Source organism: Homo sapiens, chromosome 10 (genome assembly GCF_000001405.40).
Source record: "Homo sapiens chromosome 10, GRCh38.p14 Primary Assembly".
NCBI classification, from domain to species: Eukaryota; Metazoa; Chordata; class Mammalia; order Primates; family Hominidae; genus Homo; species Homo sapiens.
The window spans coordinates 58,252,507-58,268,208 of NC_000010.11; the positions used below are offsets into that span (position 1 = coordinate 58,252,507).

Sequence of the window (15,702 nt, forward strand, 5' to 3'; positions counted from 1 at the left end):
TTATATGTCATGGAAGTCTGGTGTACAGATTATTTCATCACACAGATAATAAACATAATACCAAATAGTTAAGTTGTTCTACTTTTATCCAAGAGTTTTCTTTTCTTTTTTTTTTTTTTTTTTTGAGATGGAGTCACCTTCTGTCACCCAGGCTGCACTGTAATGGTGCAATCTCTACTCACTGCAACCTCCACCTTCCGGGTTCAAGTGATTCTCCTGCCTCGACTGCCTGAATAGGTGGGATTACAGGCACCCACCACCCGCCTGGGTAATTTTTGTATTTTTAGTAGAGATGGGGTTTCACCATGTTGGCCAGGCTGGTCGCAAACTCCTGACTTCAGGTGATCCACCCACCTCGACCTCCCATAGTGCTAGGATTACAGGCATGAGCCACTGTGCCCGGCCACATCCATGAGGTTTTTAACTTCAGATGTTTTCTTGTTACATCTTAGCATCCATTTCCTTCAGACTGAAGAACTCTCTCTAGCAGTCTGACATGGTTTGGCTGTGTCCCCACCCAAATCTTACCTTGAATTGTAGTAATCCTCACATGTCAAGGGCAAAGCCAGGTGGAGATAATTAAATCATGGGGGTGGTTTCCCCATACTGTTCTTTTGGTAGTGAATAAGTCTCTGATAGTTTTATAAATGGAAGTTCCACTGCACAAGCTGTCTTGCCTGCCGCTATGTAAAATATGACTTTGCTCCTCATTCACCTTCTGCCATGATTGTAAGGCCTCCTGAGCCATGTGGAACTGTGAGTCAATTAAATCTCCTTCCTTTATAAATTATCCAGTGTCGGGTATGTCTTTATTAGCAGCATGAGAACAGACTAATACACAGTTCTTGTAAAACAGGTCTGGCATTGATGTATTCCCTCAACTTTTGTTTGTCTGGAAATGTCTTTATCCTTCCTTTGTGTTTGAAAAATAGCTTTACTGGGCCAGGCACAGTAGCTCAAGCCTGTAATCCTAGCACTTTGGGAGGACGAAGCAGGCAGACTGCCTGAGCTCAGGAGTTTCAGGAGTTCGAGACCAGCCTGGGCAACACAGTGAAACCCTGTCTCTACTAAAATACAAAAAATTAGCTGGGCATGGTGGCATGCACTTGTAGTCCCAGCTACTCGGGAGGCTGAGGCGGGAGAATGCTTGAACCCAGGATGTGGAGGCTGCAGTGAGCCATCACACCACTGCAATCCAGCCTGAGCGACAGAGTAAGACTCCATCTCCAAAAAAAAAAAAAAAAGAAAAAAAAAGAAAAGAAAAAGAAAAATAGCTTTACTGGGTACAATAGTCTTGGAGGACAATTTTCCTTCCTCTCTCCCTCCCTCCCTTCCTTCGAATATAGCACTCCAGTCTCTCCTGGCCTTCAGGGTTTCTGCTGAGGAATCCACAGAAAGCCATATTGGGGCTCCATTGACTGAGATATGTTTCCTTTCTCTTGATGTTTTGAGTATTTTTTCTCTGTCTTTGATTTTTGCTTATTTGATTATAATGTGCCTTGGGGAATTCCCTCTCTAGGTTGAATTTGAATGGTAATCTTTGAGCTTCCTTTACCTAGATGTTGTCATCTTCCCTCAGATTTTGGAAATTTTCAGCCATTATTTCCTCAAATATACCTTCTAGGCCTTTTTCACTCTCATCTCCTTTAAAAATTCCAATTATCAGAGGTTGCTTCCCTTATTGATGTTTCGTAATTCTTGTAGGCCCTCTTCATTCTTTATTCTTTTCTTTTTGCTCCTCTGTTTAGATAACTTCATAGCTTCTACCCTCAAGCTCAATAATTCTTTCCTCTGTTTCATCAAGTTTGCTGTCAAAACCTTTTAATGAGTTTTTGCATTCAGTTATGGTACTCTTCATTTATAGGATCTCTCTCTTTTTTAAAAAATCACTTCTATTTTTTGTCAAACTTCTTATTTCGTTTCTGGAGTGTTTTCCAAATTTCATTTAGATTTCTATCCATATTTTCTTGTGATTCCCTGAACTTCTTCAAAAAAAAATTCTAAATTATCTTTCAAAAATCTTGTAGATCTTCAATTCTTCTAGTTCATTATTGGAGTTGAACTGGTTTCTTTTAGTAGTACCATACTTCGTTGGATTTTCACAATCCTTGCATCTTTATGTTGATGCCTGCACATTTGAAGAGACAGTTACCTCTTCTAGTTTTTGCAGGTGTTCCTTATTGGTGTCAGACCTTTACTTTTTAGTATCAGAACTTAAACATGGCCTGTTGTTTCTTCCTGTTCAGTGGATGACTTATAGTAAGTACTGGAACTAAAACCCTGCACTAGAACTAATTCATTGCCCTGTCATTGTTTCCTGTTCTGGGAGAAGACTTATAGTGAACATTGAAGCATAAATGCTGTTGCAGGATGAAATCGCTGCCCTGCCATTGTTTCCCAATCCAGGGAAGACTTACAGTGAGCACCAAAGCTTAAACACTGCCACAGAACTACATTGCTGCTCTACCACTGTTTCCCAAACTGGGGAAAACTTTAGTGGGCACTGGAACTTAATCATGGCTGTTAGTTGTTTCTATCCAGGGAAGGTTCCATGCAAGCACCTGGGCTTTGTGGAAAGCCTGGGACTCAGGCTATCCCACAGACTGTCCCCCTACAGCTCTATGGCATCAGCCAGTCTCTTCAACGTGGTTTCCCAGGTGATTGGAGTACTGAGTAGCCACAAAGATCCACACACCTGTCACTGCAATCACTGACCCACTTTTGTTCCCAATACACTCCAGTTGGTTCAGCCCTTCTGGCATTTCCAATGGTTCCTGTGACATGGAGCTGGAGTGGGCTTTCCATGAAGATTCCCAGACCAGTGAAAAGATCAAACATCCACCTCCAATTCTCTCCTCTCACCTCAGAAACCACGGGTCTAGGGAAATTTTCTGTGAGTGGTGTCATGCCAGTTTGGGGGAGGGGGTGACACAGTCTGAAATGATTTCTCTTATCAGTCAAGGTTTCTCTCAGGTCTGTGGATACAGGGGATTTCTCTGATTCTCCCCTGGGCTCTGGTGTATTCAGGCTGGTGCTCTTGTCTTTGAATGGTTTCTAATTGTATTTTTATGAAAGCAGTGAGGTAGGGGATCTTCTATTCTGCCATCTTGATGATATCACCATCTAGGTAATTTATATTTCTTTTTTTTTTCTTTTTTGTAAATTTCTCCTGGAATTTTCTATGATAAACATATATTGGCCAGGTGTGGTGGCTCACACCTATAATCCCAACACTTTGGAAAGCTGAGACAGTGTTCCGGGAAGTCAGAGACCCCGAACGGAGGGACCGGCTGAAGCCACAACAGAAGAACATAAATTGTGAAGATTTCATGGACATTTATTAGTTCCCCAAATTAATACTTTTATAATTTCTTATGCCTGTCTTTACTGCAATCTCTGAACAGAAATTGTTAAGATTTCATGCACATTTATCACTTCCCCAATCAATATTCTTATAATTTCCTATGCCTGTCTTTAATTTCTTAATCCCATCATCTTCATAACCTGAGGATTTATGTCACCTCAGGACCCTGGATTGCGTTATCTGCACAAATTGTTTGTAAAGCATGTGTGTTTAAACATTATGAAATCTGGCCACCTTGAAAAGAACAGGGTAACAGCAATTTTCAGGGAACAAGGGAGATAACAATAAGGTGTGACTGCCTGCGGGGCCAGGCAGAACAGAGTCATATTTCTCTTCTTACAGAAAGCAAATAGGAGAAATAGCACTGAATTCTTTTCTCAGCAAGGAATACCCCTGGGAAAGGAATGCATTCCCAGGGAGAGGTCTCTAAAATGGCCCTCTGGAAGTGTCTGCCTTATGCGGTTGAAGATAAGGGATGAAACACACTCTGGTCTCCTGCAGTGCCCTCAGGCTTGCTAGGATTAGGAAACTCCAGCCCAGCAAATTCTAGTCAGACCAGTTGTCTGCTCTTGAACCCTGTTTCCTGTTAAGATGTTTATCAAGACAATGCATGCCCAGTGGGACATGGAACCTCATCAGTAATTCTAATTTCGCCCTGGCCTTGTGATCTTGCTCTGCCCTTCTGCCCTTGTAATCTTTTATTGCCCCTTGAAGCATGTGATCTTTGTGATTTACTCCCTGTTCGTACCCCCCTCCCCTTTTGAAATCCCTAATAAAAACTTGCTGGTTTTGCAGTTCAGGGGGCATCACAGAACCTGCCGACATGTGATGTCACCCCCAGAGGCCCAGCTGTAAAATTTCTCTCTTTGTACTCTTTCTCTTTATTTGTCAGACCAGCCGACACTTAGGGAAAATAGATAAGAACCTATGTTGAAATATTGGGGGCTGGTTCCCCCGAAAGACAAGAGGAAAACTTGAGCCAAGGAGTTCAAGACCAGCCTCGGCAACATAGTGAGATCCCATCTCTACAAAAAATAAATGAAAATTAGCCACGCATGTTGGCACATGCCTATGGTCTCAGCTACTTAAGGGGCTGAGATGGGAGGATCACTTGAGCCCAGGAGGTTGAGGCTGCTGGTAAGCCGTGATCACACCACCACGCTCTGGTCTGAGTGTAAAAGACCCTGCTTCTAAAAACAAACAGAATAAAACAAACGAAAACAACATTTTGCTTTTATTATTAGAAAAGAAAACCTGTGATATAGGAAAGTATATACATTATATACATACTAAGAGAATTATAGATTCTGTTTAATTTCAATTAAACACAGGGTATTTCAACAGCCAGGCCCGGTGGCTCACACCTGTAATCCCAGCACTTTGGGACTCCAAGGCGGGTTGATCGCCTGAGGTCAGGAGTTCGAGACAAGCCTGGCCAACATGGTGAAACCCTGTCTCTACTAAAAACACAAAGATTAGCTGGGCATGGTGGCATGTGCCTGTAGTCCCAGCCACTCGGGAGGCTGAGGTATGAGAATCTCTTGAACTTGGGGGGCAGAGGTTGCAGTGAGCTGAGATTATGCCACTGCACTCCAGCCTGGGCAACGGAGCAAGACTCTGTCTCAAAAACAAAAATAAATAAATAAAATAAAATAATAAGATAAAGAACATTTTTAAAATGTGAGAAAGGTACTGAGAAAATATTTGACAAGGCAATGGCTGAAATGTTCTAAAAGTATTAAGAAACATAAAAACGTACAGCCAAGATGCTCAGAGAATCCGAAACAGACTGAAAAATATCAAACCCCTAGACACTTTTTGAAGACACAGATGAGTTAAAAGTGAAAGAATGGAAAAGATGCATCATGCAATTATTGCTCATAAGAACGTTTGATATAGTAATATTATATATCAGACTACATAGTATTAGAGACAGCAGACTACAAGAAACAGAACATTAAACACAAAGAGAGACATATCATAACAATAAAAAGGTCAGTTCATTAAGATGATATAAAAATCCTAAATAAGTGTGTACTAAATTATTTGGTGGTTCAAAATACATGAAGCAAAAACTGACAGAACTGAAAGGACAGACAAATCCATAAAGGACAAATCCACAATTACTTTCTCAATAATTGATAAAACAAATAGAATAGGCCAGGCGTGGTGGCTCACACCTGTAATCCCAGGACTTTGGGAGGCCAAGGCGTGCAGATCATGAGGTCAGGAGTTCAAGACCAGCCTGGCCAACATGGTGAAACCCCCATCTCTACTAAAAATACAAAAACTAGCCGGGCATGGTGGTGCGTGCCTGTAATCCCAGCTACTTGGGAGGCTGAGGCAGGAGAATTGCTTGAACCCAGGAGGTGGAGGTTGCAGTGAGCCAAGACTATGCCACTGCACTCCAGCCTGGCGACGGAGCGAGATTCCATCTCAAAACAAACAAACAAAAAATAGAATATTAGTAATGATATATAAAACTTGAACAGCAACAAACAAGTTGACCAAATTGACACCTGCAGAATGAATGCTATATCCAACAGAATATACATTCTTTTAGTATATAAATGGAGCATTTACCAAGATTGAGTATGTGCTGGACCATAAAACAAGTCTAAAATCTAACAAGATTGGAATCACACAGAATATTCACATAGGGAATATTCTCTGACCACAATGGAAGTAACAGTAAGATATTTAGGAAAATACCAAATAGTCGGAAAGTAAACAACACCCTCCTAATTATTAATGGATCAAAATTCACAATGGAAATTAGAAAGTATTTTTAATATAAATTATAATAAAAACTCAATCTATATCAAAATTTGTGAAACGCAGCTAATATATTGTTTAGTACTTAAAGGGAAATGGGCAGTTTTAAATGCTTGTATGAGAAGAAAAAGGAAGTCTCCAATTTAAGATGTCAGAAAAAAGAACATATTAATTCCAAATAAATAGAAAGATAGGAATGAAAAATCAAAGAAATAAGAAATGGACAACGAAGAAAAATCAATGCAATTTTAAAAAGTGGTTCTTTTAGATGGTTCTGGGAAAATAAGTTGGTTTAAATATTTCAAAATGAATAAATATACTGATGTTTTGAGGAGACAGAGTTCTCACTGAGGAAGAAGGGAGATGTAAATACAGAATGGAGGGAGGCAAAAAAGAACTTTGTGGTGCTGAATTTAAATTATAGGTATGGGGATTAACTCAAATGTTTAATAATATGAAATACATTTCTTAGTCCAGTCTGTGAATGGACAAACAGCAATCACACCCAAGGAACCATGAGCACACCTAGTGGCCAGACCATAGTTTCTAAATACCATTTACCCCTAAAGGAACAAGGGTTTCTTGAAGAAAAACGGCTCATTTCAGGGCCGAGACAGGGAAAACACAAAAGGAATGTGGAATATCTTTTTATGCCAGAAAGTTAAAAAATGCTTTGAAAGAAAAAACAGGAAATATCAAAAAGACACAGGAGCCAGCTTGAAGTTCCCACTGCTCAAATCTGAGACAACCATAACATCAAGCAGCAACAATAATGGATATCTATCCACTGAAATTTGAAAAAAATCCACCTTAATAATGAATGAATGAATGAATGAATGAATGAATGAGGAGGGAAATCTATTCCTTAACATAGAATGCCAACTAACAAATGTAATAGGAATGAGGGCTGGGCAGAATGGCTCACGCCTATAATGCCAGCACTTTGAGAGTCTGAGGTGGGTGGATCGCATGAGCTCAGGAGTTCAAGACCAGCCTGGCCAGCATGGTAAAATCCCATCTCTACATAAAAAAAAAAAAAAAACAATTAGCCAGGCATGGTGGTGCATGCCTATAGTCCCGGCTACTCAGGAGGCTTCGGTGGGAGGATCACTTGAGCCTGGGAGGCGGAGGTTGCAGTGAGCCATGACTGTACCACTGCACTCGAGCCTGGGTAACAGAGCAAGAACCTGTCTCAAAAAACAAAAAGAAAAACAAATGTAACACGAATGATAGTTAGAATATTACTATTTTGCAATTATCATAGTACTATATGAGTCTGTCAAATATTATCAATCAAGGTAAAGTTTCATGAGGAACAGAATATCTAACAGTCTCAAAATATTCCTCTCAAATTACTTAACAGCAAAAACGATAACTTTCCTGTGGAAAAACCTGGCAGAAATCACTTAACCAGGTGATCAAAGTTACATCACCAATAATGCAACTGACATCCTATGTCTTATGATATGCTTTGAAGACATGACATAGTCATATAATATTCTTACCAAAAATGCATAATCTGAATATAATCATGACAAAACAATCAGACAAACTGAACTTAAAGGACATTCTAAAATGTCATACACCTATACTCTTCAAAAATTCCATGGTTATGAAAGATACAGAAAGAAGAAAGAAGTGCTCCCGATAACAGGAAACTAAAGAATCGTAACAACGAAATGCAATGTGTGATCCTGGATGAAGGAAAGTGCTGTAAATGATATTATTGGAATAATGGCAAAAGCCAAATGCTAAATACTCTGAATTTTGTAATTTTACTATGGTTAGGTGAGAAAATTGTCTTATTTTTAGGCAATATACACAATTATTTAGAGAAAAGGGGTCATGATGTCTAAAATTTATTCTTAAATGTTTATGCACAATCATCATATACAGAGAGTAATAAAGCATATGTGGCAAAATTAATATTAACAATTGATAAATCCAGATGAATGGCATACATTAGTTCACTGTACTATTCTGGCATATTTTTAATAAATTTAAATTTTTTTCAAAAAAAAACTTAAGGCAGTACAATTTACAGTAAAATCAAATACTTAAGGGAAAAGCCTAGTAAACAATGTGTAAGACCTGTACACTGAAAACTATGACTCACTGAGAGAAATTAAAGGACTAAATAGAGAGATATACCATGTTCAAGTATTGGAAGACTCAATATTGCAAATAAATCGATTCTCACCAAAGCTATCTACAGATTCAAGGCAATGCCAAATAAAATCTCATCCTGTTTCTGGGGAAAAGTAATGAGTTGATTTAAAATCTGTATGTAAATGCAAAGGACCAGAAAAAGCCAAGACAATCTTGAAATAGTAAGTGGGATGCATGAAGACTTATTATAAAATAACTTGAATCAAGATCGTGAAGTAGGATAAACAAGCCAATGAAAATAAAAGGCCAAAAGCAAATCCAGGAAATTGATTGAATATGCACGGCTGAGCTATAAAAAAAAAAAAATGAGGAGGAACTCTATGAACTGATACATACGAATTTCTAGGATATAGTCTTAACTCTTAAAAACCATGTGAAAAACAGTATATACAGCATACTAGATTTTGTATCAGAAAGAAAGGGAAATAAAACTTCCATAGATCTATTTAATTCTGTAAAAAGAAACTCAAAAAGGGTAAATCAGAAAACAATGAAATTGATTACCTACAAGAGATGCTGAGGAGTGGATGGGGTGGAGTGATAAGGGAGTGAAATTTTTTATTATACTTTTCTGTAAAGTTTTGTTTTTTGGAAGCATGTTAATGTTATAAGCTTTCAAATATATAATCAAACAAACAAAATTTGAGGAAGCAGGGATGAATTTAAACAGAAACAAATGAACCCAACTGTATTTCAAATGAATACTACTACTGCGAAAAGGGAGAAAAAGAAATAACAACCAAAAACAAAAAACCTAATCCAACTAACTTTTGTTTGTTTTTTTTTTTTTAGACAGTCTTGCTCTGTCACCCAGGCTGGAGTGCAGTGGCACAGTCTCGGCTCACTGCAACCTCCGCTCCCAGGTTCATGTGATTCTCCTGCCTCAGCCTCCTGAGTAGCTGGGACTATAGGCGCCACCAACACATCCGGCTAATTTTTGCATTTTTTGTAGAGACAGGGTTTTGCCATGTTGGCCAGGCTGGTCTCAACCTCCTGGCCTTGGCCTCCCAAAGTGCTGGGATTACAGGCATGAGCCACCGTGCCCAGCCCCAAGTAATTTTTGAACACAGTTTATACCCTCAGTATAAGAAAATCTCATCCTGAATTCATGAGTTGATGTCCTTTGTAGCGACATGGATGAAACTGGAAACCATCATTCTGAACAAACTATCGCAAGGACAGAAAACCAAACACCGCATGTTCTCACTCATAGGTGGGAACTGAACAACGAGAACACTTGGACACAGGGCAGGGAACATCACACACCGGGGCCTGTCGTGGGGTTGGGGGGATGGGGGAGGGATAGCATTAGGAGAAATACCTAATGTAAATGACTAGTTAACGAGTGCAGCAAACCAACACTGCACATGTATACATATGTAACAAACCTGCACGTTGTGCACATGTACCCCAGAACTTAAAGTATAATAAATAAATAAAAAAATCTCATCCTGAATTCTTTATTCTAGGCTTGTTTTCTGAAGTAGTATGGGTGTAGAAATTCTGAAAATTGTAAGATTAAGCAAAAGAATAAACATATTAATATCACTGGGAGCCAGGGTTCTTACTACAGAAGAAGGGAAATACAAATTTAGAATCAAGGGAAAGGAAGAACTCGGGTTTAAATGAAATTTGAAATATGAAATTATAATTTCTAAAATATTTATACATACTTTAAAAATCATGTCCATTGAAAAGTCCTGGAAGAAATGATACTCCAACAGTTATGACAATACCTAGTAACACAGATCTTGGTTTCTAAATACCATTTTCCACTAAAAAGAAACCAGGGCTCCTTGAAGAAATGGTTGACTCTAGGGCTGGGGAAGAAAGTTATGAGATAATTCTAAAAAATCTGTTATGACAGAAAGGAAGTGCTCTCAATGGTCAAATTTGGGACCATTTGAGCAACAAAATAAATAAGTTCCTTTTTTAAAAACATTGAGATGTGATTAAAGTCCAATAAATAAGTTCCATAATGGGTAATGATACATGTTATCAAATAGGAATCCATGATGCAAACTGATTATAAATAAGGACATAAATACTTAAGGGTAAAGGAAGAGCTATTTCTTGGAATGCTAGCTGTTAAAGCAGAGGGAGTGAAAGAATGGGGGGAAAAAATCACAATTTTGTAACTATCAGAATAAACACAGCTTCAGGCAAGAATCAACAGATGCCAAATCTAGGGATGAAGTTGATGAGAATCCAGATAGCTGCATGACTGTAAAGTGTCTCCTCACATATAGCTTATTAAATGTAGAACAGAAAACATTAACTATATACTGAAGCCAGGCATGGTGACTCATTCCTGTAATCCTAGCACTTTGGGAGGCTGAAGCAGAAGGATCACTTGAAGCCAGTAGTTCAAGACCAGCCTGGGCAACAAAGCCAGATCCCATCTCTACAAAAAATTTTAAAATTAGCCTGGCCCAGCAGTGGTTCATGCCTGTAATCCCAGCACTTTGGCAGGCAGAGGTGGGTGGATCACCTGAGGCCAGGAGCTCAAGACCAGCCTGGCCAACATGGCAAAACCCCGTCTCTACTAAAAATACAAAAATTAGCCAGGCATGGTGGTGCACTCCTGTAATCCTAGCTACTTAAGAGGCTGAGGCACGAGAATCACTTGAACCTGGGAGGCGGAGGTTGCAGTGAGTCAAGACCGCGCCACTGTTCTCCAGCCTGGGCAACAGAGCAAGACTCCGTTAAAAAAAAAAAAAATTAGCCTGGCCTAGTGGTGTGCACCTATACTCCCGGCTACTCAGGAGGCTGAGGCAGGAGGATTGCTTGAGCCCTGAAGTTTGAGGCTGCAGTGAACTACATCACGCCACTGCACTCCAGCCTAGGTGACACAGCAAGAGCCTGTCTCAAAAAACAAACAAACAAAACGATATACTGAAGAAGCCAGACTACACTTGAATCAGACAACCAGAAATAATCCACTACCAAAGGGCAGCTATTGTTGGCCTCCACTTACACAATGTTCCAGCTGGAAAAGTATCATCTGAATCCCATCGTAAGGAACTATCAGAAACCCAAATTAAAGAACATTTCATAAAATAACTGGCCTGTACTCTTCAAAATGACAATGTCATAAAGGACAGGGAAAGGCTGAGGATATGTTACAAATGAAAGGACACTAAAAGACATAACAACTAATTGCAATAAATGATTCTGGACCAGATCCTGTACTGAGAAAAACAAATGTGATAAAAGACATTACAGTATTGGAACAGTTGACAAAGTGAGACTATGGACTATAGATTAAAGTATTATATCCCTGTTAAATTTCCCATAGTTGATCAATGTGCTGTGGCTACAGAAGAGAATATCCTTGTTCTTAAGGAAGACACACTTTAGTATTAACATGTAAAGTGGCATAATGTATGCAACCTACTTGCAAATAGTTAAGAAAAATTATTTGCATTGAGAGATAATAAAACAAATTTTGCAAAATGTTACTTTTCTATTGTTCTTGCAACTTTTCTGTAGGCTTGAAATTATTTTAGGTTAATTAGTTTCAGAGGATATCTAATAAAAAGAGACTACTAAGCCAAGATAATTGTAGGTCTTTCTCCCCCACAACAATTATCAGTTTAAATCCTTGTTTTCCCTATAGACTACCCCATTTCTACATCCTACATCAGATCAAGAAATATCAGATTTCCATCATTTGTTTAAAACTTTAAGGACTTTTTAAAGAACTTAATGATACATATTAAAAGAATTTTATGCTAACTTTGGTGAGTTTTGGGAATTTATATTGATCTTTTTTTTGCGAAAACTTCCTACAGAGATAGGTACACAACGTGCAAGGTATGCTATTATATACAAGAATGTTTAATAAGTACATTACTTATCACAGCAAACAAATGGTGAAAAGTCTAAAAATCTATGATTACAGAAATAGTTAAATAAATTGTGATACATCCACATTGTAGAACACAATTTTTAGAAAGAATAAAGTATACCGTAAGTGCAAAAATATAGGTATAATACATGATATAATACAGAATGAGAAAAGTTGCTGATAGATTTATTTGTATAAAAAAACAGAACCGCGCTAATGTGTTTATGTATGTGCCCAGAAACAAAGGCCTGAAAGGATAGACAGGAAGTAGTTACCAGTGATTGCCCCTGGGAGAATGAGTAGGGGGAAGGGCACTACTTAAACTGAATTTTTTTCCTAAAAGATCCGTGTACTATACAATTTTTACAGTTTAAAAAACAAAATACTTTGTATTCTTAGAACTAAGATTTAAATGTATTTTGATGAAATATGGTTTCAGTGAAGAACACAAAATATAACGGATGTCTGAACTACTAATATATGCTTGTTACTTAGCATATATAACAAGATCTATTTTTCTGTTCAAGCACCTTTGTTCTATCAAGTTCCATGAGTTTAATTTTTAAACTAACAAAGCCAACAACTCCTTTTTGGAAATAGGTAAAATAATTCTAAATGGAACATTTCTGGTTACTTACTGATAGTAACACAAATTTAAAAACAAAACAAATACCAACATAACGTCCTTAACAAAGCTTATCCTGAGAATTATTTCAATTGACAGACCAAAGCATGATCTAAATGATGTAAACTGTACATGACTTATGACAGTGGAGAAACATAATAAAACTGTTGAACTTTGAATTAGTGACCATCTTATCCATTTTACAAATAGGGAATATATCATCAGTCAAGTATCCTTTTACTTAACAATACAGTCAGGATTGTATAACTATCTGAGAATTAAATTCAACAAATATTAGGTTGCTAGCACAGTATGTTTAAGCCATTCTACTATGGTGACACAAACACTGTCCCTACTCAAAAGACCCTTATGAAATTGCAAAAAAAGTTTATTTTACACTGAATGCCATAATAAAATTAAGGACTACTACCTCTAGAATCTAAACTTTTCCATTAATTAGGCAATTTGGGTGACAAATTAACTTTTCAGCCACTATTTGCAATCACTCTGAATGGGATCACTATTACATACTGTAATAAGCAGTGGTTACACTCTTAAGTGACAATTATTTAGATTGTTTTTATGTTGAGATTTTTAAAATCTATTCTCCTTTGCATATAAGTCAATCTCTAGGGACCTTTAGGGAAACATTTACTTTTTCAGGCATCTAGAATATTATTAGGAATAGTAAAATCACAATGTATTAATATAAATCAATAGGCATTCCTCTATTAACAGAAACCCCATGAGTACTCTCAAATTCTCATTACAAGACACTGGCACACAGGAGGAAATGTCTATGCTGAGCAACTTGAGGACGTTGTTTCTTTACCTCGGTATACTAAAACAACTGTCAATTTTCACTATTCAATATTTCCTGAGTGTTACTGATTCCCAGTCCGTGCACAAGGCTATGAGAGAATACAGATTCTCTCTCTAACATCTAGGAATTCACAATTCAGTGGGGAGAAAGGCACACAAACAAAGTAGGTAAAAATAAAAGTAGTGGAAAATGTCGCTTTGAGAAATAGCATATACTCAAATTAATACTTATCCATTTTCTAAAAGCCTTGAGTTGTTTCAGCAAACACAATACATGGTGAAAAAATACAGTACTCAAAGGAAGAACTCTTGGTTTCACAATTCTTAACATATTGTAACGTGACTTCAGGCACGTCATTCTTAACCAGGGTTGGCCTTAGTCACCTCGTCTAAAAATGTCAGTATTAGCAACCTAAACCCGAATCGTTTTACCGGCATAAACTAAATTGTCTCTAGTGGCTCTTCCGGGTCAAAGATCCACAATACTCACATACTCATCCATCAGATTACCCCAGTAATCATGGCCCAGGGAACCACTACGGGTAAACTAGATGAATTAGAGTTCCTAAACTGAGATAGGCTTTAAACTTGTGAACTCAGAAAATGTATTACAGTGGCCATGATACAGCCTTATAAAATGAACAAGAATAGCTGAACATTTTGTGTATCATTCTGGTACAATATGCGTGTGAATTTCCCACCAGGAATCCGAGTTTCTGCACTACTGGAACCACGCCTCCCAGAGAAATCAAGGAGACACCAGAAAAACCTCCTCAAGGGACAGGGAAAAATCACGGACAAGCTTTCTTCCCTTCTCACCTCCCCCTAAAAAAGCCCAGTGTTTTTCTTCCCCTCCAGCTATGCAGCTGCACCCAGCAGAGAAGTACTAGATTAGCATCATCTGCATTTCATTCCTTTTCTTTTGCAATAGCTACTCGCCTATAATAAACAGACCTTGTGCTCAAGGGAGAATTTACTTCCCCGTCCAGTAAAAATGAAGTTCCTTATTTTCACTAACAACGCCGTCTCCAATCAACACCCAACCTCCCTGGGGGGTGGGTGAGACCAGACACGCCTCTCCCTGCCACCCGTGCTGCAAGCCTGACGACCCACACCCTAGGAATTGTCCCACTTTCCGAGCCCCTTCTGCTCGAGTGGCGAGGCTTCGGGGGACAGCGGAAGAGGCCAGGGATTTGGCGTGCACACCAGGGGGGCGTCCAGGCAGGCCCGAGAGCGCTAGGCTGCCTCCGCTGACAGGGGGCTCGCACAGGCGGAAGGGGAGCGGCGAGACCTATGCCACCCCCACTTACCCACTTTGTCCTTCCCGTACATGTGCCCGGCCACCTGATGCGAGAGGGGCACGCAGCCGTTGAGGAAGCGGAGTCTGCCGCCCGCCGGCTGCGGGGTGCCCTCAGGGGTGGACTCGATCGCCGGTGAGGTCCGCATTTCTGGGGGGCCCGGCGCCTCGACCCGGAGGGGGGATGGTGGCTCTGTTGCCATAACGGAGAGCAGAAGCGGTAACGGCAGCGAGAGTAGGAAAAAAAATAGGGCGAGGGAGGGGGCGCCGGAGAACCCGAGGGTCGCTCAGGCTCGGGCGCGAGGAGGCCCGGGGGTTCCCGCGGCTGGTGCCCTCTGAAGCGCGGGGAGGGGGCCCATGACGCCGCCGGGGCGCGGGCGCTCCTCTGCCCAACTCTCGGCGGAACGCGGCTCCCGGCTCCTGTTCCTCTGCCGCCGCAGCCGCCGGCCCCGGCGCTGCCCGGTAGACAGAACCGAGCCGAAGAACAGCAGCAGCGGCGCCCCGCGCTCCCTGGGGCCCTGACGGCGACGGCGGNCCCACCTCCTGCGCCCCCGCCCCCTCCCGCCGTCCTCCAGTCCCCTCAGCTGCCGCGCGCGCGTCACCGCCGCCCGCACCGCCGCTGCCGCCGCTACTGAGCATGCCCAGAGGCCGTCCAACGGGATTCCGGCCCCCCAAGTCAGCGGGGCGGGCGCGCCGTGCTGCCAGGACCTGGCGACGGCGACAGGGATAGGGCGAGCGCACCCCTGTTTCTTCTCACCCCCACCCCGCGGGCATTTCGAAGTCACGCGTGCTGCTGTGGC

At 40.4% G+C, this 15,702-nt stretch overlaps 1 protein-coding gene across 1 annotated transcript in view, besides 4 other annotated features; it reads right to left on the reverse strand.

Annotated features, from left to right (window-relative positions):
* The window catches only part of IPMK (inositol polyphosphate multikinase), a 76,378-nt gene extending 60,990 nt beyond the window's left edge, over positions 1-15,388 (reverse strand). The window contains exon 1 of the mRNA NM_152230.5: positions 14,916-15,388. Coding sequence (NP_689416.1) covers positions 14,916-15,105 — 190 coding nt within the window. The 5' untranslated portion in view covers positions 15,106-15,388. The remainder of the gene's footprint in view (positions 1-14,915) is intronic.
* Positions 14,559-14,668: an enhancer, noted in NCBI's record as "active region_3383". NCBI's record gives its function as "activates an Ori minimal core promoter by ATAC-STARR-seq in GM12878 lymphoblastoid cells {active_cell/tissue: GM12878}" and the evidence as "EXISTENCE:reporter gene assay evidence [ECO:0000049][PMID:35858748]".
* Positions 14,559-14,917: a biological region, named in NCBI's record as "Sharpr-MPRA regulatory region 9892".
* Positions 14,623-14,917: an enhancer, noted in NCBI's record as "tiled region #9892; HepG2 Activating DNase matched - State 1:Tss". NCBI's record gives its function as "activates a minimal TATA promoter and a strong SV40 promoter by Sharpr-MPRA in HepG2 cells {active_cell/tissue: HepG2}" and the evidence as "EXISTENCE:reporter gene assay evidence [ECO:0000049][PMID:27701403]".
* Positions 15,169-15,678: a silencer, noted in NCBI's record as "silent region_2375". NCBI's record gives its function as "represses an Ori minimal core promoter by ATAC-STARR-seq in GM12878 lymphoblastoid cells {active_cell/tissue: GM12878}" and the evidence as "EXISTENCE:reporter gene assay evidence [ECO:0000049][PMID:35858748]".